Source organism: Homo sapiens, chromosome 1 (genome assembly GCF_000001405.40).
Source record: "Homo sapiens chromosome 1, GRCh38.p14 Primary Assembly".
In the NCBI taxonomy this organism is placed as follows: domain Eukaryota; kingdom Metazoa; phylum Chordata; class Mammalia; order Primates; family Hominidae; genus Homo; species Homo sapiens.
This window is the reverse complement of record NC_000001.11, coordinates 173,695,198-173,715,868: the sequence shown is the minus strand read 5'-3', so window position 1 is coordinate 173,715,868 and position 20,671 is coordinate 173,695,198. Positions and strand designations below refer to the sequence as shown.

The 20,671-nt window shown below is 41.3% G+C and overlaps 2 protein-coding genes across 11 annotated transcripts in view, besides 2 other annotated features; one reads left to right on the top strand and one right to left on the bottom strand.

The window, feature by feature from the left end:
• Nucleotides 1-888, bottom strand: part of KLHL20 (kelch like family member 20) — a 71,712-nt gene extending 70,824 nt beyond the window's left edge. For 4 of the 8 annotated variants that reach the window (XM_017001052.2, XM_017001053.2, XM_047418030.1 and 1 more), the window contains exon 1: nt 215-888. In XM_017001052.2, coding sequence (XP_016856541.1) covers nt 215-398 — 184 coding nt within the window. In that variant the 5' untranslated portion in view covers nt 399-888. The remainder of the gene's footprint in view (nt 1-214) is intronic. The other 4 variants (XM_005245093.5, XM_024446468.2, NM_014458.4 and 1 more) reach the window with 2 other exon arrangements.
• Nucleotides 345-714: an enhancer, noted in NCBI's record as "active region_2115". NCBI's record gives its function as "activates an Ori minimal core promoter by ATAC-STARR-seq in GM12878 lymphoblastoid cells {active_cell/tissue: GM12878}" and the evidence as "EXISTENCE:reporter gene assay evidence [ECO:0000049][PMID:35858748]".
• Nucleotides 684-20,671, top strand: part of ANKRD45 (ankyrin repeat domain 45) — a 106,850-nt gene continuing 86,862 nt past the window's right edge. The window contains exons 1-3 of one of the 3 annotated variants that reach the window (XM_047419206.1): nt 684-773; nt 10,374-10,465; nt 11,955-12,164. The gene's annotated coding sequence lies outside the window, so the exon portion shown is untranslated. Of the gene's footprint in view, nt 774-10,373; nt 10,466-11,097; nt 12,165-20,671 lie in introns of those variants that run through there. The other 2 variants (XM_017001123.2, XM_047419195.1) reach the window with 2 other exon arrangements.
• Nucleotides 795-984: an enhancer, noted in NCBI's record as "active region_2114". NCBI's record gives its function as "activates an Ori minimal core promoter by ATAC-STARR-seq in GM12878 lymphoblastoid cells {active_cell/tissue: GM12878}" and the evidence as "EXISTENCE:reporter gene assay evidence [ECO:0000049][PMID:35858748]".

Sequence of the window (20,671 nt, the reverse complement as noted above, 5' to 3'; positions counted from 1 at the left end):
GATGCACAATAACTTAATCTAGTACATTTAAGATTACCATCCTTACTCTGCATGCTAAAACGATTAAAGTAAAGGTGAGGGAAAGTATGCTAAATAGTCCCGACTGTTAGGTCAGTCTTGTTTCTCTTCAAAAAGTGCTTGGAGATATTTAACTGTGATCTCGACATCAAGTATATTTACAGAACAAGCACCAGATACCCACAGCAGTACTAACCTGATAGATCACATAGGGTACACGAGGCTTTAATAACGAATCTGAAGATTGTTAACTTGTCCCGAAGTGACAGGAGGAGGAGGCGTCTGCATTTGCCTTTACAAACAACTCCGCTTCCGACAGTCCAGGGAGCTTGAACAGGGCAGGGAAAGTATGGCTCCAGACTAACACTCTTTACAAGCATTTCCTTCAGTCCCCGATACAATGTTCACTACCCACGTAGCAGGATTTCGCCAGGTCCCGAGGGTTAAATGGGGGCGCACGTACTTTCTTCCTTCCCTGAATTCCAAACACTGTCTGGGGAAGCTGTCCAGGATGCGAAACCCCAGCACCACCAGGCAGGACAAAGCCCGGGGCCTCCTCTGGCTCCCGAGATAGGCTGTCAGCCAGCGAGAGCGCACTCTGGCGCTCCGCGAGGCCCGGCCCCAGCGCCCCAACAGTCTCTTCTCGGCGCCGACTGACAGGCGACCGACCTGACCCCATGGGGCAGCTCAGCAACTTGGGACCACATATCTGCGAAGCGAGCCCTGGGGCGCTGTCCGCTGTCCCCTGCTCTAAGGTGACTGGCTCACTTACCGGCTCTGACACTTTCTTCTCTGCAGCAGCCTCCTCCGTCTACTCCGCCCTCCACTCCTCTCTGCCTCCTCCTCCACCGCCGCTAACGCAGGCAGGATGCCGCTCGTAGAGCTATTTCCTTTCCCTTCACCGGCCCATATCCAGAAGCAGGAAGTAGTCCTATTCTTAAATCGTTCCCGCAGGAACCCACATAATCCGCCAAGGGGTTCCGGTGCGGCTCCGGAAGTAGTCGTGCCCTTTGCTGGGGCATTCAGGTAACCTCAGAGGTTGTTTATCCTCGTGGGGGTTCCTTGTATCCCAAGAGTAACCATTTTTAGAATTCACTGCGGAACTGGCAGTATTTGAATACTGAAGCCTCCTCTTTTCTTCTTTGTTTTCGCCAGCAAAGGCAGTAAAGGGTAGTCACAGAAAGCTAAGAATTTGTATTTCTTTTTAGTTGGTGGGTCTCCTTTTGGCACAATGTTCCTAATTGTGGATTGAATTATTGCATGCACACATGGGTTGGCATGTATCTGTCAGGCCTCTACTATGTGCAAGGTGCAGAAGTTAGATAGACAGACCAGAGATAGACCTTATCCTCCAGATTTCCCACGGTCAAACTTTCAGGACACCAGGATTTTATCCAGGCTCTAAGGCTGTGTTAGTCTGCCCTTTCTACTTAGTATTCACCACCAGACACTTCACCAAACACATCTTCTGTGGATTCACTTTAATGTTAAGGAGGGAAGAGTATATTTTCTTAAAAAAATTTTTTTTCAGTAGCAAGCAGAGCCAAAAAAGTATATTTTTAAAATTATCTTTTCCTCCAGATTTTCCCATAGCACACAGCCACCTGATTTTTACCGTATATTAATATTTAGAAAACAAGTGATACAAGTGTAAGGTGGGGATTACAATTTCAGGAATATCAGAGAAAGACTGTTGCTGATTTCCTGGTAAGTATACTAGGCTAAGTATTAACCAGATTTTCTTTAGCTGTTCTTTATGTAGAATCTACACAGGTGTGTCCAGTTGTTTCTGAGGGGAAAGGATACCTCTTGTTAATTAGCTTGTAGTGGAAAATACATGGCCTTTAGATCCAGATATAGTGGCCCAGTGGATTCTTCTTGCCTGCTGCCCAGATACAGATGATTTATCAAGGTATAGGGATTGCAATGGAGAAAGAGTTTTACACAACATCGAGTGGAAAAATGGAAGAAGTTTTATTATTACTCAAATCAGTTATATTATTACTCAAATCGGCCTCCTGGAGCATTTGGGGGCTAGGTTTCTTTTCAAAGGTAGTCTGGGGAAAGGGGTAGGGGTGGCTAGGCAATGGGTGCTTGCTGCTGACTGGTGCAGTCATAGGGGTATGGGAGATGGTCCTCCTGCCTACTGAGTTGTTTCTGGGTGGAGCCACAGGAACAGTTGGTGGGTCCAGGTGGAGCCATCAGTAGTCAAACATGCAAAAAACTTAAAAATATACCCAAAAAGGCCAATCCTAGATTCTACAATAGTGATGTTATCTGTAGGAGTAATTGGGGAAGTTGCATATCTTGTGACCTCTGGAATAATGGCTGGCAATCACTTATGTCTACACTTAACAGAATTCAGGCTCATCTATCCCCGTTGTCTGGTGGTCTCTCATTAGCTTTACAAAGGCAATTGAGTTTTGGGGAAGGACTGTAATTATTTAAACTATTAAACTAAATGTCTCCCAAAGTTATCTTGGCTTAAGCCCAGGAATAATTAAGGACAGACTGAAAGCTAAAGGCAAGATGGGGTTTGGCTAGATCAGATCTCCTCCACTGCTATAATTTTCTCACTGATAGAATTTTTGCAAAGGGGGTTTCAGTTTGCAAAGGCGATTTCACGGATACACATAGGTACAAATCCTAGACCTGTAACTGACTAGCTTTGTGATCTTATTGAAAATTTTTACTGCATGTGTATATGTGATATATATACATATGCAGTAAAATGATTTCTTTTCCATATTTTAAAACTTTTCATAAATGGTATCAAAGCATATGTATTCTTTTGCAACTTCCATTTTCCACTCAACATTCTGTTTGTAAGATTTGTCCATGTTGATCAATGAAGGTCCAATTCAGTGATTCTCAAAGTGTTGTCCTGGACCAGCAGCATCAACATCACTTGGAAAATGCTAACCCTTGAGCCCCATTACAGACCTATTGAATCAAAAACTGAAGGTGGGCCCCAGTAATCTGTGTTCTAACAAGTTCTCCAGGTGATTATAGTGCATGGTAAAATTTGAGAACTACTGCACTAATTTATTTATTTTCACTGCTTTATAGTATTCTATTATATGAATATACCATAGATTTTTTAAAACATTTTTTTCTGCAGATGGATATTTTGACTATTTCCAGTTTTCTCCATTACAAACAGTGCTACAATGTAAATTCTTGCATATACCTCCTTGTGTACACCTGTAGGTGTTTCTTTGGGGTGTGCACGCAGAAGCAAAATTGCTGGGTTGTATGCTATGCACAGCTTCAACTGTATTAGCACTAGTCAAATTGCTCTCTAAAGTCATTATTCTATTTCAGTAATAATAATACTAGCAAATACTTATGTAGCATGTTATAGTAACTCATCAATACTCACACTAGTCCTCTCGAGGTAGGATCTATTATCATCATTCCAGTTTCACAGATGGCACCAAGATGTTATGTAAGTTGCCCAAAGTCACACAGCTAGTTATGAAGTAGAGCAATAACTTGAAACCATACACAATGGCTCTAGAGTCTGTGCTTTCAGCTACAGTGCTGTGTTGTCTCTCCATTACAAGTGTTTGAGGGTTTTTGTTGGTCTATATTATCATCACAGTTGGTGTTTTCCAACTTTAAATTTGTTTTTGCCAATTGGTTGGGTATAAAATGGTAATTCACTGTGGTTTAAATGTTTATTTCTCTCATTACTGTTCAAACATTTTTCATATGTGAAAGTGGCATTCAGATTTCCCTTCTGTGAATTGCTTATTGTAAAAGATACCTTCAAAGTGACTCCTATTTTTTCCGTAATATGAATTAAACTATTTTTATAATTCATAGTATAGGTATGAAAATGTTACTATATGGTATAAAAATGTTACTAAAAATGCTGCTAACCAAAGACTGATTTTAAAACTCCTGTCCAGGATAAGAGCAGTCCCTCCTATTTTTGTATATCTGTGATTCACTCCCCAACCCACTGCAATCTGGTTTGTGCTTCTGCTACTCTGTTTCTTTTTGAAGTGGAGAAGTTCAGTGTGAATCAACCCTTTTTATTTATGTCAAGACCTAGAGAACTCCATTTAGAGATGTGTTTATGGTAAACCTGGCATTTGCAGTAATTACAGTTTTTCTGCCACCTGAGTAAGACTATGCCCTTCGGGAGCCTGAATTTCTAGTGGAAAATACACATGAAATAGATTTTATTTAGATTGGGTGTGTGAAAGGAAAATATCTTGGGCCCCCAAAATCACTAAGCTAAAGGGAAAAGTCAAGCTGGGAACTGCTTAGGGCAAACTTGCCTCCCATTCTATTCAAAGTCACCCCTCTGCTCACTGAGATAAATGCATATCTGATTGCCTCCTTTGGAAAGACTAACAGAAACTTAAAAGAATGCAACAATTTGTCTCTTATCTACCTATGACCTGGAAGCCTTCTCCCTGCTTTGAGTTGTCCCACCTTTCCAAACGGAACCAAAGTTCATCTTACATATGTTGATTGATGTTTCATGTCTCCCTAAAATGTGTAAAACCAAACTGTGGTCTGATCACCTTGGGCACATGTCATCAGGATCTCCTGAGGCTGTGTCACAGGTGCATCCTCAACCTTGGCAAAATAAACTTTCTAAATTAACTGAGACCTGTCTCAGATTTTCGGGGTTCACAGGTATGAGGTAGTGACAACAGCCAAATAATTCTTTTCAGGGGTTGCTGAGCTTACCTTATAGTTTTTCAATCAAAAATTATATCTTGTTTCCAATGTATAAAATACAGTGGTTGGACCTAAGGTTTAGTTGTAGGTGAGACCCACAGGGCCCATTGTTTGTGGAATTTTCATTCTTCTTCTTTTTTTTTCTTTTTAAGTAGGGTCTCAATCTGTTACCCAGGCTGGAGTGCAGTAGTGCAATCACAGCTCACTGTTGCCTCTGCTTCCTGGGCTCAAGTGATCCTCTCCCCTTGTTACAGTAGGTGGCTAGCCAGGCATGTGCAAGGCAGGAGAGGGCTTCTCCCGCACCTCACCAGGAATGTCAGGTGACCATCGGGTGATGGTCAGGCAGTTGTCACGCTGCCTCTCTAATATAATAATTGGTTGCAAACAGCACCAGGGAAAGGCAGTTTCCCAGTAGATAAAAACACCTGAAACTGGTGGCAGCGTCTCAATAAGATCTCAGGAATTGGGTGAGTGGGCTCCAGCATGTGCATTAAAGGGCAAAATGGCAGAGTTTAGCTGGTATATGACCTTCCAGGGGCATTCCACCAGAATGGGAAGAACGCCTCAAGTGAGCATGTGTACAACTCCAGTAAACACACTCTGCATGCTCCCCTCCCAGGCACTAGCAGGCCATTGCACATGCGGACAACCCACCCCAAGGGAAGAATCAGGGCAGAAGGGATGCAAGACCCCAGAAGCATGCCAGCATATAAAATGCTAAGTCAGAAGGTCAAACTTCACACTTGTTTTCAAGTTGCCTGCTTGGACCTGTTCCACATGTACTTTCCTTCCTTTGACTCCTGCTCTAAAACTTGCCTCCATCTCTTCTGCTTCATGCCCCTCAGTCAAATTCTTTCTTCTGAGGAGGCAAGAATTGAGGCTGCTGCAGACCCATATGGATTCACCACCGGTAACAACCTCAGCCTCTTCAGTAGCTGGGACCACAGGAGTGTTCCACAATGCCCAGCTATTTTGTTTGTTTGTTTGTTTTGTAGAGACGAGTTCTCACTATGTAGCCCAGGCTGGTCTTGAACTCTTGGGCTCAAGTGATCCTCTCACCTTGGCCTCCCAAAGTGCTGGGATTAGAGACATAAGCCACCACACCCAGCGAATTTTTATTCTTGAGGAGACAGACAGTATAAAATTGAACCATGAATTACATAATTAGTTGTTTAATTACGATTGCGGTAATTGAAAGTGATCTACTGGGTGCTAAGAAAACACCTAGTAGGGTGGCTTATGCCTATAATCCCAGCTCTTTGGGAGACCCAGGCAGAAGTATTGCTTGAGCCCAGAAGTTTGAAACCAGCTTGGGCAACATAGGCAGACTTTGTCTCTACAAACAAATTAAAAATTAGCTGGGCATGGTGTCACATGCCTCTAGTCCCAGCTACTGGGGAGGCTGAGGTGGGAGGATCACTTGAGCTCAGGAGGTTGAAGCTGCAGTGAGCTGTGATTGTGCCATTACACTTCAGCCTGGGCAACAGAGTAAGGCCCTGTCTAAAAGAAAAAAAAAAAGAAAACATCTAGTAGGGTGCCCAGATATGGTCTAGAGGGTAACAGAAAGTGTGGTGTGCAGCCTTTAAGATGGCCCTAAGTCTTCTATGCCTCTTGGTGTTCATGCCCTCATGTAATCCCCTCCTTTGAGTGTGGGCTGAACCTAGTGACTAACAAATGGAATATATCAAAAGTCATGGAATTGTACTTCTAATATTAGGTTATTAAAGGACTGTGGCTTCTGTCTCAGATGTCATCTCTCCCTAGCTTTTTCTGAGGGAAGTAAGCTACCATATTGTGAGCTGCCCTGTGAGAAGCCTTGTATGGCAAGGAACTGAGAGAGGCTTCTGGCCATCAGAGAGGAACTGAAGGTCTCAGTCCGATAGCCCATGAAAAGCTGAATCCTGCCATTAGCAACATGAGTGAGCTTGGAAGTGAATCTTTTCCCAGTTGAACCTCTAGATAAAACTGCAGACTTTGCTGACAACTTGACTAAAACCCCATGAGTTGAAAGGGAAGGAGGAATGTTCCAGGGAAAGACACTAAAGCCAGAGAGGCAAGGACAGGTTGGCCAGGGTGCACTTGGGAGAGTGGCATGACACAAAGCTGGTGAAATTAGAAAGTATTTTGGAAAGTTCAGGAACAGAGCAGGAAGAATATGCACAAGTAAGACAATGACAAAGCATTTTCCTAGTTTTCTTGATGCTGCTATAGAATTCTAGGGTGCTTACAGGGTGGTACAGCAGAGAGCACTACGATGGGAGCTAGAAGACCGGGGTCCCAGTGCTAATCCTGTAATCTGAAGCCATCACTTGGTCATTCTTGTTCTCAGTTTTCTCATCTATAAGATGGAATCTAAATCCTTTACAATTTCTCAGTCTAGAGTTATTAGTTATGTGAAACCTATATGGGGAAAACTATAAAACATTCCTGAAATAAGCAAAAGTAGATTTGAGCAGATAGAAAGTCATTCCACATTATTGGATAAGTTGACTCAATTTCATAAAGATAACAGTGCCCCATAAAGTAATTTATAAATTTAATGCAATCCAGTGTCTTTGTTTGTTTGTGCTTCTGTAGCAAAATACCTTAGACTGGGTAATTTACAAAGAACAGAATTTATTTTCCCATAGTTCTGGAGGCTGGGAGGCCCCAGATCAAGGCACCAGCATTGTCAATGTCTGACAAGGGCTGCTGTCTGCTTCCAAGATGTTGTCCTGCTGCTACCTCCTCTGGAGGGGATGAATGCTGTTTCCACACATGGCAGAAAGGCAAGAGAATGTTCCTTCAAACCTGAGCCATAAGGGAGCTAATCCCATTCGTGAGTGTGGAGCCCTCATGGCTTAATCACCTCCCAAAAGCCATATGTCTTAATAATGTCACATTTAGGATTACATTTCAACATGAAATTTGGAGAGTACACCATCCATAAGTCAAACCATAGCACCAAATAAAATCAACATCAGAGTTTTTACAGAACTAGATAAGTTGATTATAAAGTTAATATGGAAGAAAAGACAAATGAGAATAACCAGAAATACTCTTACTCTAAAAATAGAAATAGCTGAGAGAAGGGTTAACCCTAAGAGATATTATTAAAACATGTTCTAAAACCTCTATAATTAAAACTGTGGTTTGGGCATATAAACAGATAAATGCAGCAGGGTAAGAAATCCAGAAATAGACCTTAGAACATAAGGAAATTTAGTATGTGATCTCAAATCAGTGGGGCAATAGGCACTGTTTAATAAATGATGCTGGTACAACTATGGAAACGTAAGAAATTGGATTTATTTCCTTATATAATGAGTTAGACTTCACTGCAGTCTCAACAAAGTCCTCTGAAGACCCTATGGGAAGATCTGAGCCTGGGATGGTCCTTTATATTTGTCACGAGTTGGAGTTAGAAGGCTGGTTCTTTATACCCCACATCAATCAAATGTATTTGAAAGCTTAAGGTAATAATGAAAGCGTAAAAATAATATAAGAAAATATGGGTGAATTTCCTTATTAAGAGTGGAGAGCCTGGGCGTGGTGGCTCATGCCTGTAATCCCAGCACTTTGGAAGGCCAAGGTGGGCTGATCACTTGAGGTCAGCAGTTCAAGACCAGGCTGGCCAGCATGGTGAAACCCTGTCTCTACTAAAAATGCAAAAATTAGCTGGGCATGGTGGCGGGCACCTGTAATCCCAGCTACTTGGAAGGCTGAGGCAGGAGAATCACTTGAACCTGGAAGGTGGATGTTATGGTGAGCTGAGATCGCACCACTGCACTTCAGCCTGGGTGATAGAGCAAGGCTTTGTCTAAAAAAAAAAAAGGAGAAACACTTCCCTGAATATGACTCAAAATCTAGAAGCAAAAAGATTGATTAATTTGACTGCATAAAAAAAATTTCCATGGGACAAAGATAAATGTAGTAAAAAAAAATGACAATTAGGAAAAACACATTTGCAATATATTAATATATCATAAAGCGTTCATAATGTAATATATAAATGACTCCTAAAAATAGAGAAAAAAACAAATAACATAAATGGGCAAAATATATGAACAGCCAGTTTACAGAAAAAGAAAATGCCCTTAATCATTTAAATATATTATGAATATATCATGAGCAATCTTGCTCATAATAAGATAAATGCAAATTGTGTCTATTTTGAGACCCATTTACCACCTATAAAGTAGGCAAAAATCTGAAATGGCACAACCTGTTTTTCTGACACAACTGTGGGGAAGAATGCACTCATTTGTGACCAGTGTGTGCAAAATGATAAAACTTCTATGGAGGGGGATTTGGCAAGATCTAGCAAAATGACATTTGCATTGACCTTTTTCCATTATCCTGAGGAAACACTTGCAAAAATAAAATAAGTTATGCACAAGGTTATTCACTGCAGGATACTTTGTAATAACAAAAATTAGAAAGAATCTAAAAGACTCTTATTAGGGGGCTGATTAAATAAACAATGGGATATCTACATAATGAGGACTATGCAGTTATAAAAAGAAATGACAAAGGGCTGGGTGGGGTGGCTCATGCCTATAATCCCAGCACTTTGGGAGGCCGAGGTGGGCAGATCACCTGAGGTCAGGAGTTCGAGACCAGCCTGGCCAATATGGTGAAACCCCGTCTCTACTAAAAATACAAAAATTAGCCATGCATGGTCGTGGGCACCTGTAATCCCAGCTACTTGGGAGGCTGAGGCAGGAGAATTGCTTGAACCTGGGAGGCGGAGGTTGCAGTGAGCTGAGATCGTGCCACTGCTCTCCAGCCTGGGTGACAGAGTGAGACTTGGTCTCAAAAAAAAATTAAAAGCAAAACAAAACAAGGAGGATCTTTTTTTTTTTTTTTTTTGAGACGGAATCTTGCTCTGTTGTCCAGGCTGGAGTACAGTAGCACAATCTCAGCTCATCGCAACCTCCACCACCCAGGTTCAAGCAATTCTCCTACCTCAGCCTCCTGAGTAGCTGGGATTACAGGCGCACGCCACCATGCCAGCTAATTTTTGTATTTTTAGTAGAGATAGGGTTTCACCATATTGGTCAGGCTGGTCTCGAACTCCTGACCTTGTGATCCACCCGCCTCGGCCTCCCAAAGTGCTGGGATTACAGGCGTGAGCCACTGCGCCCAGCCGGAAGATCTCTTAATGGCATACTCTTCAGGCATGTTGTTAAGTAATGAAAACCAAGTGAACAGTGTTTATAGCATGCTAACTTTGATTAAGAAATGGGTAGAAATATAGTGTGAGTGTATATAAGTGTATATGTATTTATAGTTTAAAATTTTACATATATATATAAATTGAAAGATAAATGGATAATTAATAAAAATGGTTACCTACAGGGGAAAGGAGAGACCAGGGTAGGAAAGGTTAGGGATGGCAGCCAGATTTTGAAAGTATTAGGCTTTATATTTTTATTTATTAAATGTTCTTAATAATTAAAAAATTCACTTAAGCAAAATCTATTTTTATTTATTTAATTTTTTTTAACACAGAGTCTCACTTTATCACCCAGGCTACAGTGCAGTGGTGCAAACACAGCGCACTGCTGCCTCAGCCTCCTGGGCTCAAGGAGTTCTCCTGCCTCAGCCCCACAAATAGTTGGGACTACGGGCGCATGCCACCACACCTGGCTAATTTTTTTTTTTTTTTTCTATAGAGACAGAGTTTCACCGTGGTACCCAGGCTGGTCTCGATCTCCTGAGCTCAAGCAATCCACCTGCCTAGGCTCCCAAAGTGCTGGGATTGCAGGTATGAGCCACCATGCTCGGCCGTCTATTTTTATTTAAATAAAATTTTATTATTTACTTAATATTTATTTTTATTTTACTAAAAGGCATTTATTTTAATATCTTTAAAATTTTTAAAGAAAATTTAATCAAAAGAGAAAAAAGCCATCCCTAAATATTGAAGAATAAATGGACCTAACTATGTCAAGTTGGTGGCACATAGTTAATGCTGTAATGTACCACCCAGACATCCTTCAGGAATGAGGGACACAATCCACCGGATGCTAGAAGTGCTGTTGACAGAGAGAGCTCTGCTGTCAGTCCTTTTTGGGAGGCACTTTGACTGAAAAAGAGTGGCCTGACCAAGGTCTCACTCCCTCTCTGGGACAGCCTGCATTCAATCACTGGTCAATGCTGGGATGTAAAGGCACAGCTCTGTTGCCCCTACTTGGGATAACTCTGAAGGATCATCCCAGCGTCAGAGCTTCCCAGAGGGGCTGCAGAGGCCTTTGTTGAAACTACAGTACAGCCCAGCTTCTCCCTCTGCCCTGCTTCTGTCCCTTTCTTTTCACAAGTATTGGTCCCAAAAGCACTCTCTAATAAATTACATACTAAACTCCATCTCAGAATATGCTTCCAGAGGAGTCCAACTGCAACAGTTAGTGTCAGGAGTGGTTCAAGAAAGCAGTCACTATAATGGGATTTTGGTATTGGACCACCTGCTTCCAGGCTAGCAATGAGAATATCAACACTTGTGGTAGAAAGAAGCACAGACAGTCCTTGGCACAACTGAAGTGCAATTGTTCAAACTTCACTGCTGCTGAACTGTATCTTCTGGTGGATGGAAACACCCTAGTAGGTTCAGTGGATCAGATGTTTGAGATGTATGGGGGAAATATGAGTGGGCTGATGTTAAGCTTATTTGATATTTTGAAGAAATGTAATGAAAGGTTGAAAGTGATTAATTTGACAATTAAAAACTAAGCATGAAAGCCAAAGGGCCTCCTCATTAAGAAATAAAGAGGCTCTTATCTGCAACTGGAAAGCAGGAAAAGCTGAGGGCTAGGTCCAGGACTTAATTGTAAGAGTTGCAGGACCTCAAGGAAGATTAAATTCTTACTACTGGCAAGTTGGCTCTGCCTAGAACAGGGTGCTAGTTGGGAAAGAGTGGGATCTTGACACATGGGATGGGGACATCTATGTTCATGCACCCCCAAATCTTTAATTCCCAAATTTCCCTGAACCCTCTGAGCCTAGAGAAGTGGCCCTCTCCTCCCTAGGGCTAGTGCTCCTTCCTTGCTTGAAGTTGAAAAGGCCTCCCCACCGCGGGACATGAGCCCTTTCAAGATCAGCCCCACTTTCCTGCCTTGCCACTAAGGCAATAACCAGATTAAGTTACAACATAACCCTGCTAGGGACATGCTTGACCCATAATGGAGGAAAAGGACTGCATTAGTTTGTAGGGCAGCTGTGCTAAGTGGCTTTAACAACTGAAATCTATTTTCTTGCAGTTCTGGAGGCTAGAAGTCTGAGATCAAAGTGTCAGCATCATCAGACCATCACTGTTACATAAGTACTTTCCCTTCTCTCACACCTGTGGTTGCGTGGGCTTGCCTTATGACCAACTGAAAGAGTGGGAAAAAGCTTGAGCTTGGTTCATGACTGGGTTGGATCAGGACACTGGTGCAAGCCATAAAATGGACAGTAGCTGCACTGCAGAGGTGAGAGGAAATTCTCCAAATGGGCAAGAACATTGGGAAACCTACGTTTGTGTGGAAAGAAAAATGGTTCAAGGTTAGAATTTACATAGACACACAAACTGCAATGAATGGCTTGGCTGGAAGGTGAAATATTTGGGGACAGGGGAAAAGGAGACCTGAGGTAGAGGCATGTGAATGGATGTATAAGAATGGACACAGATATCGGGCGCGGTGATTGACACCTGTAAGCCCAGCACTTTGGGAGGCTGAGGTGGGTGGATCACCTGAGGTCAGGAGTTCGAGACCAGCCTGGCCAACACGGTGAAACCCTGTCTCTTCTAAAAATACAAAAAAATTAGCCAGGTGTGGTGGCAGGCGCCTGTAGTCCCAGCTACTCGGGAGGCTGAGGCAGGAGAATGGTGTGAACCCGGGAGGTGGAGCTTGCAGTGACCCGAGATCGTGTCACTGCACTCCAGCCTGGGCGACAGAGCAAGACTCCGTCTCAAAAAAAAAAAAAATTAGCTGGGTATAGTGGAGTGGTATGCGCCTGTAACCCCAGCTACTTGGGAGGCTGAGGCATGAGAATCGCTTGAACCCAGGAGGTGGAGGTTGCAGGTAGCCAAGATCATGCTACTGTACTCTAGCCTGGACAACAGAATGAGACTTCATCTCAAAAAAATGAAATAAGAAGAATGGACACAGAGGGGCATGGTGGTTCATGCTTGTAATCCCAGTGCTTTGGGAGTCCAGGTTGGGAGGATCACTTGAGGCCAGGAATTCCAGACAAGCCTGGGCAGCATAGCAAGATCCTGTCTGTAAAAGAAATAAAAAAATTAGCCAGGCATGGTGGTGGTGCATGTCTATTGTCCTAATGACTTCAGGAGGCTGAAGTGGGAAGATCACATGAGCCCAGAAGTTCAAGGTTATAGTGAGCTGTGATTGCACCACTGCATTTCAGCCTCGGCAAGAAAGTGAGACCCTATCTCAAAAAAAAAAAAAAAAAAAAAAGAGGACACAGAATGACAGCCAGCAGACTGCCAGCAAGCCAGCAGACTGCCAGCAATAAAGATCAGTGCAGAGCCCCTGACATCATGGCACTTACCCCCTACCTTCCTCCTTCCTCCTTCTCCTTCTTCCTTGGCTTCTATGTTGCCACATTCACCTAAAGCTGTTTATTCTCTAATGATTTTTCCCTATCTTCCTTTGCCTTCTCCCTAAATGTAGTTGTTCCCCAAGGCTCTGCCTTTAGCCCTCTTTTCTTCTCCTTATAAACACTCACCTTGGGTGGCTTTGGAGCCCATCCTCTTTGAAGGTTTTAGCTACCCCCTATATGATGATACTCTGAAATCTATTTTTATATCTCAGTCATATCTGCTGAACTTTGAATTCAAATATATGTTGGCTGGAGGTACATTGATACTTCTACCTCTAGTTGTCTAAGCCTGCATTCATCATCCTGATTTTAACCCTGATCTTCAAAATCTTCTAATTAGAAAATCATAGGCTACCTAGTCACCCAAGATAGAAGCCAGAGAGCCACTCTTGGCTTCTCTCTGTGCCTGCTGTCTCATCCCCCTCCAAGATCATGTTGCTGTCTGATCTTTTCCAATCCAGGTAACCACATCTCTTGCCTCTGCCCCAACCATACACTTTTCTGCTATTTCAAACACTTACGTGTTCACCAGTGTACTTTGTAACTTATTTTGTGCCTTCATGCCCTTTTATGTTTCTTTTGAATGCCATTACCACTCCTTTGCCTGTTGAATTTCTAGTTATCTTTGATTTTTAATTTTCACTCTATCTTATATTATTATTGTGAGCTTCGAATCATAAAATGATGATTTTTAAGTCACTAACAAAAATTAAAATTTTTAATTTAATTCTAATTTTTAAATTTTTATTTATTTATTTATTATACTCTAAGTTCTAGGGTACATGTGCACAATGTGCAGGTTTGTTACATAGGCATGTGCCATGTTGGTTTGCTGCACCCATTAACTTGTCATTTACATTAGGTATTTCTCCTAATGCTATCCCTCCCCCATCTCCCGACCTCACGACAGGCCCCGGTGTGTGGTGTACCCTGCCCTGTGTCCAGGTGTTCTTATTGTTCAATTCCTAACTATGAGTGAGAACATGTCATGTTTGGTTTTCTGTCCTTGTGATAGTTTGCTGAGAATGATGGTTTCCAGCTTCATCCGTGTCCCTATAAAGGATATGAACTCATCCTTTTTTATGGCTGCATAGTATTCCATGGTATATATGTGCCACATTTTCTTAATCCAGTCTATCATTGGTGGACATTTGGGTTGGTTCCAAGTCTTTACTATTGTGAATAGTGCCGCAGTAAACATACGTATACATGTGTCTTTATAGTAGCATGATTTATACTCCTTTGGGTGTATACCCAGTAATGGGATCCCTGGGTCAAATGGTATTTCTAGTTCTAGATCCTTGAGGAATTGCCACACTGTCTTCCACAATGGTTGAACTAGTTTATACTCCCACCAACAGTGTAAAAGTGTTCCAATTTCTCCACACCCTCTCCAGCATCTGTTGTTTCCTGACTTTTTAATGATTGCCATTCTAACTGGTGTGAGATGGTATCTCATTGTGGGTTTGATTTGCATTTCTCTGATGGCCAGTGATGATGAGCATTTTTTCATGTGTCTGCTGGCTGCAGAAATGTCTTCTTTTGAAAAGTGTCTGCTCATATCCTTTGCCCACTTTTTGATGGGGTTGCTTTTTTCTTGTAAATTTGTATAAGTTCTTTGTAGATTCTGGATATTAGCCCTTTGTCAGATGGGTAGATTGCAAAAATTTTCTCCCATCCTGTAGGTTGCCTGTTCACTCTGATGGTAGTTTCTTTTGCTGTGCAGAAGCTCTTTAGTTTAATTAGATCCTATTTGTCTATTTTGGCTTTTGTTGCCATTGCTTTTGGTGTTTTAGTCATGAAGTCCTTACCCATGCCTATGTCCTGAATGGTATTGCCTAGGTTTTCTTCTTGGGTTTTTGTGGTTTTAGGTCTAACATTTAAGTCTTAAATCCATCTTGAATTAATTTTTGTATAAGGTGTAAGGAAGGGATCCAGTTTCAGGTTTCTACATATGGCTAGCCAGTTTTCCCAGCACCATTTATTAAATAGGGACTCCTTTCCCCATTTCTTGTTTTTGTCAGGTTGTCCAAAGATCAGATGGTTGTAGATATGTGGCATTATTTCTGATGCCTCTGTTCTGTTCCATTGGTCTATATCTCTGTTTTGGTACCAGTCCCATGCTGTTTTGGTTACTGTAGCCTTGTAGAATAGTTTGAAGTCAGGTAGCATGATGCCTCCAGCTTTGTTCTTTTGGCTTAGGACTGTCTTGGCAATGCAAGCTCTTTTTTGATTCCATATGAACTTTAAAGTAGTTTTTTCCAATTCTGTGAAGAAAGTCATTGGTAACTTGATGGGGATGGCATTGAGTCTATAAATTACCTTGGGCAGTATGGCCATTTTCACAATATTGATTCTTCCTACCCATGAGCATGGAATGTTCTTCCATTTGTTTGTGTCCTCTTTTATTTTGTTGAGCAGTGGTTTGTAGTTCTCCTTGAAGAGGTCCTTCACATTCCTTGTAAGTTAGATTCCTAGGCATTTTATTCTCTTTGTAGCAATTGTGAATGGGAAGTCACACGTGATTTGGCTCTCTGTTTCTCTGTTATTGGTGTATAGGAATGCTTGTGATTTTTACACATTGATTTTGTATCCTGAGACTTTGCTGAAGTTGCTTATCAGCTTAAGGAGATTTTGGGCTGAGATGATGCGGTTTTCTAAATATACAATCATGTCATCTGCAAACAGGGACAATTTGACTTCCTCTTTTCCTAATTGAATACCCTTTATTTCTTTCTCTTGCCTGATTGCCCTGGTCAGAACTTCCAACACTATGTGGAATAGGAGGGGTGAGAGAGGGCGTCCCTGTCTTATGCCAGTTTTCAAAGGGAATGCTTCCAGTTTTTGCCCATTCAGTATGATATTGGCTGTGCGTTTGTCATAAATAGCTCTTATTATTTTGAGATACATCCCATCAATACCTAATTTATTGAGAGTTTTTAGCATGAAGGGTTGTTGAATTTTGTCAGGCCTTTTCTGCATCTATTGAGATAATCATGTGGTTTTTGTCTTTGGTTCTGTTTATGTGATGGATTACATTTATTGATTTGTGTATGTGGAACCAGCCTTGCATCCCAGGGTTGAAGCCAACTTGATCTTGGTGGATAAGGTTTTTGATGTGCTGCTGGATTCAGTTTGCCAGTATTTTATTGAGGATTTTTGCTTTGATGTTCATCAGGGATATTGGTCTAAAATTCTCTTTTTTTGTTGTATCTCTGCCAGACTTTGGTATCAAGATGATGCTGGCCTCATAAAATGAGTTAGGGAGGATTCTCTCTTTTTCTATTGATTGGAATAGTTTCAGAAGGAATTGTACCAGTTCCTCTTTGTACCTCTGGTAGAATTCAGCTGTGAATCCATGTGGTCCTGGACTTTTTTTGGTTGGTAGGCTATTAATTATTGCCACAATTTCAGATCCTGTTATTGTTCTATTCAGTGATTCAACTTCCTCCTGGTTTAGTGTAGGGAGGGTGTATGTGTCCAGGAATTTATCCATTTCTTCTAGATTTTCTAGTTTATTTGTGTAGAGGTGTTTATAGTATTCTCTGATGGTAGTTTGTATTTCTGTGGGATCGGTGGTGATATCCTTTTTATCATTTTTTATTGCATCTATTTGATTGTTCTTTCTTTTCTTCTTTATTAGTCTTGCTATCACTCTATCAATTTTGTTGATCTTTAAAAAAAAAACAGCTCCTGGATTCATTGATTTTTTTGAAGGGTTTTTTGTGTCTCTATCTTCTTCAGTTCTGCTCTGACCTTAGTTATTTCTTGCCTTCTGCTAGCTTTGGAATCTGTTTGCTCTTGCTTCTCTAGTTCTTTTAATTTTGATGTTAGGGTGTTGATTTCAGATCATTCCTGCTTTCTCTTGTGGGCATTTATTGCTATAAATTTCCCTTTACACACTGCTTTAAATGTGTCCTGGAGATTCTGGTACATTGTGTCTTTGTTCTCATTGGTTTCAAAGAACATCTTTATTTCTGCCTTCATTTCGTTATTTACCCAGTAGTCATTCAGGAGCAGATTGTTCAGTTTCCATGTAGTTGTGTGGTTTTGAGTGACTCTTAATCCTGCATTCTAATTTAATTGCGCTGTGGTCTGAGAGACAGTTTGTTGTGATTTGTGTTCTTTTACATTTGCTGAGGAGTGCTTTACTTCCAACTATGTGGTCAATTTTGGAATAAGTACAATGTGGTGCTGAGAAGAATGTATATTCTGTTGATTTGGGGTGGAGAGTTCTGTAGATGTCTATTAGGTCTGATTGGTGCAGAGCTGAGTTCAAGTCCTGGATATCCTTGTGTCTAACCTCCTGTCATGTTGATCTGTCTAATATTGACAGTGGGGTGTTAATGTCTCCCATTATTATTGTGTGGGAATCTAAGTCTCTTTGTAGGTCTCTAAAGACTTGCTTTATGAATCTGGGTGCTCCTGTATTGGGTGCAGATATATATGTATAGAATAGTTAGCTCTTCTTGTTGAATTGATCCCTTTACCATTATGTAATGGCCTTGTCTCTTTTGATCTTTATTGGTTTTAAGTCTATTTTATCGGAGACTAGGATTGCAACTCCTGCTTTTTTTTTTTCTTTCCATTTTCTTGGTAAATTTTCCTCCATCCCTTTATTTTGAGCCTATATGTGTGTCTGTACTTGAGATGGGTCTCCTGAGTACAGCACACTGATGGGTCTTGACTCTTTATCCAATTTGCTAGTCTGTGTCTTTTAATTGGGGCATTTAGCCCATTTACATTTAAGGTTAATATTGTTATGTGTGAATTTGATCCTGTCATTATGACGTTAGCTGGTTATTTTGCCCGTTAGTTGATGCAGTGTCTTCCTAGCATCGATGGTCTTTACCATTTTGCGTATTTTTGCAGTAGCTGATACCGGTTGTTCCTTTCCATGTTTAGTGCTTCCTTCAGGAGCTCTTGTAAGGCAGGCCTGGTGGTGACAAAATCTCTCAGCATTTGCTTGTCTGTAAAGGATTTTATTTCTCCTTCACTTATGAAGCTTAGTTTGGCTGGATGTGAAATTCTGGGTTGAACATTCTTTTCTTTAAGAATGTTGAATATTGGCCCCCACTCTCTTCTGGCTTATAGAGTTTCTGCTGAGAGAGCCGCTGTTAGCCTGATGGGCTTCCCTTTGTGGGTAACCCAACCTTTCTCTCTGGCTGCCCTTAACATTTTTTCCTTCATTTCAACCTTGGTGAATCTGACAATTATGTGTCTTGGGGTTGCCCTTCTCGAGGAGTACCTTTGTGGTGTTCTCTGAATTTCCTGAATTTGAATGTTGGCCTGCCTTGCTAGGTTGGTGAAGTTCTCCTGGATAATATCCTGAAGAATGTTTTCTAGCTTGGTTCCATTCTCCTGTCACTTTCAGGTACACCAATCAAATGTAGATTTGGTCTTTTCACATAGTCCCATATTTCTTGGAGGCTTTGTTCATTGTTTTTACTCTTTTTTCTCTAAACTTCTCTTCTTGCTTCATTTCATTAATTTGATCTTCAATTGCTGAAACCCTTTCTTCCACTTGATCGAATTGGCTACTGAAGCTTATGCATGCATCACATAGTTCTCCTGCCATGGTTTTCAGCTCTATCAGGTCATTTAAGATCTTCTCTACACTGTTTATTCTAGTTAGCCATTCATCTAATCTTTTTTCAAGGTTTTTAGCTTCCTTGTTGTGGGTTTGAACATGCTCCTTTAGCTTAGAGAAGTTTATTATTACCGACCTTCTGAAGCCTAGTTCTGTCAACTCATCAAAGTCATCCTCTATTTGAATAGAAAAAACTATTCTTAAATTCATATGAAACCAAAAAAGAGCCCTAATAGCAAAAGCAATCCTAAGCAAAAAGAACAAAGCTGGATGCATCACATTACTCAACTTCAAACTATACTACAAGGCTACAGTAACCGAAACAGCATGGTATTGGTCAAAAACAGACCCATAGACCAATGGAACAGAATAGAGAACCCAGAAATAAAGCCACACACCTACAACCACCTGATCTTTGACAAAATCAGCAAAAACAAACAATGAGAAAAGGGCTCCCTATTCAGTAAATGGTACTGGGATAACTGGCTAGCCCTAAGCAGATGATTGAATCTGGAATCCTATGTTTCACCATAGACAAAAATTTACTCAAGATGGATTAAAGGCTTAAATGTGAGACCTAAAACTATAAAAATCCTAGAAGAAAGGAAATGTCATTCTGGACACTGGCCTTGGCAAATAATTTATGACTAAGTCCTCAAAAGCAATTGTAACAAGAACAAAAATTGACATGTGGGACCTATCAGGGGAACCACCCCCAATATTTCACGTCGGTTCTTTTCTGTTTCCCTAAGTATCAGCCAGTCTGAGAAATACAGGGAAAGAGTACAAAAGAGAGAAATTTTAAAGCTGGGTGTCCGGGGGAGACATCACATGTTGGCAGTTTCCTTCATGCCCCCTGAGCCATAAAACCAGCAAGTTTTTATTACTGATTTTCAAAGGGGAGGGAGTGTACGAATAGGGTGTGGGTCACAGAGATCACATGCTTCACAAGGCAATAAAATATCACAAGGCAAATGGGGGCAGAGTACCAGGGTGAAATTAAAATTGGTAATGAAGTTTTGGGCATGCATTGTCATGGATAACATCTTATCAGGAGACAGGGTTTAAGAGCAGATAACCGGTCTGGCTAAAATTTACTGGGTGGGAATTTCCTTGTCCTAATAGGCCTGGGAGTGCTATGGAAGACTGGGGCTTATACGCTGTTGGTGGGAATGTCAACTAGTTCAGCCAGTGTGGAAAGAAGTTGGAGACTTCTCAAAGGACCTAAAACAGAACTGCCATTCAACCCAGCAATCCTACTACTGGGTATATACCCAAAGGATCATAAAACATTCTGCCAAAAAGACACACACACTCATATGCTTATCGCAGCACTAGTCACAATAGCAGAGACATGGAATCAACATAGGTGCCCATCATTGATGGATTGGATGAAGAAAATATAGTACATATACACCACGGAATACTATGGCACCATAAGAAAGAGTGATATCATGTCCTTTGCAGCAACGTGGATGCGGTCCAAGCCAATATCCTAAGTGAATTAACACAGGAACAGAAAACCAAATACTGCATGTTCTCACTTATAAGGGGGAGCTGAACATTGAATACACATGGACATAAAGATGGCAACAATAAACACTGGGGAATACTAGAGGAGGGAAGGAGGGATGGGAGCAAGGGCTGAAAAACTACCTATTGGGTACTGTGTTCACTACCTGGGTGACAGGATCACTCATACACCAAGCCTCAGCATCATGTTATATACCCACCTAACAAACCTGCACATGTACTCCTGAATCTAAAATAAAAATTAAAATATAC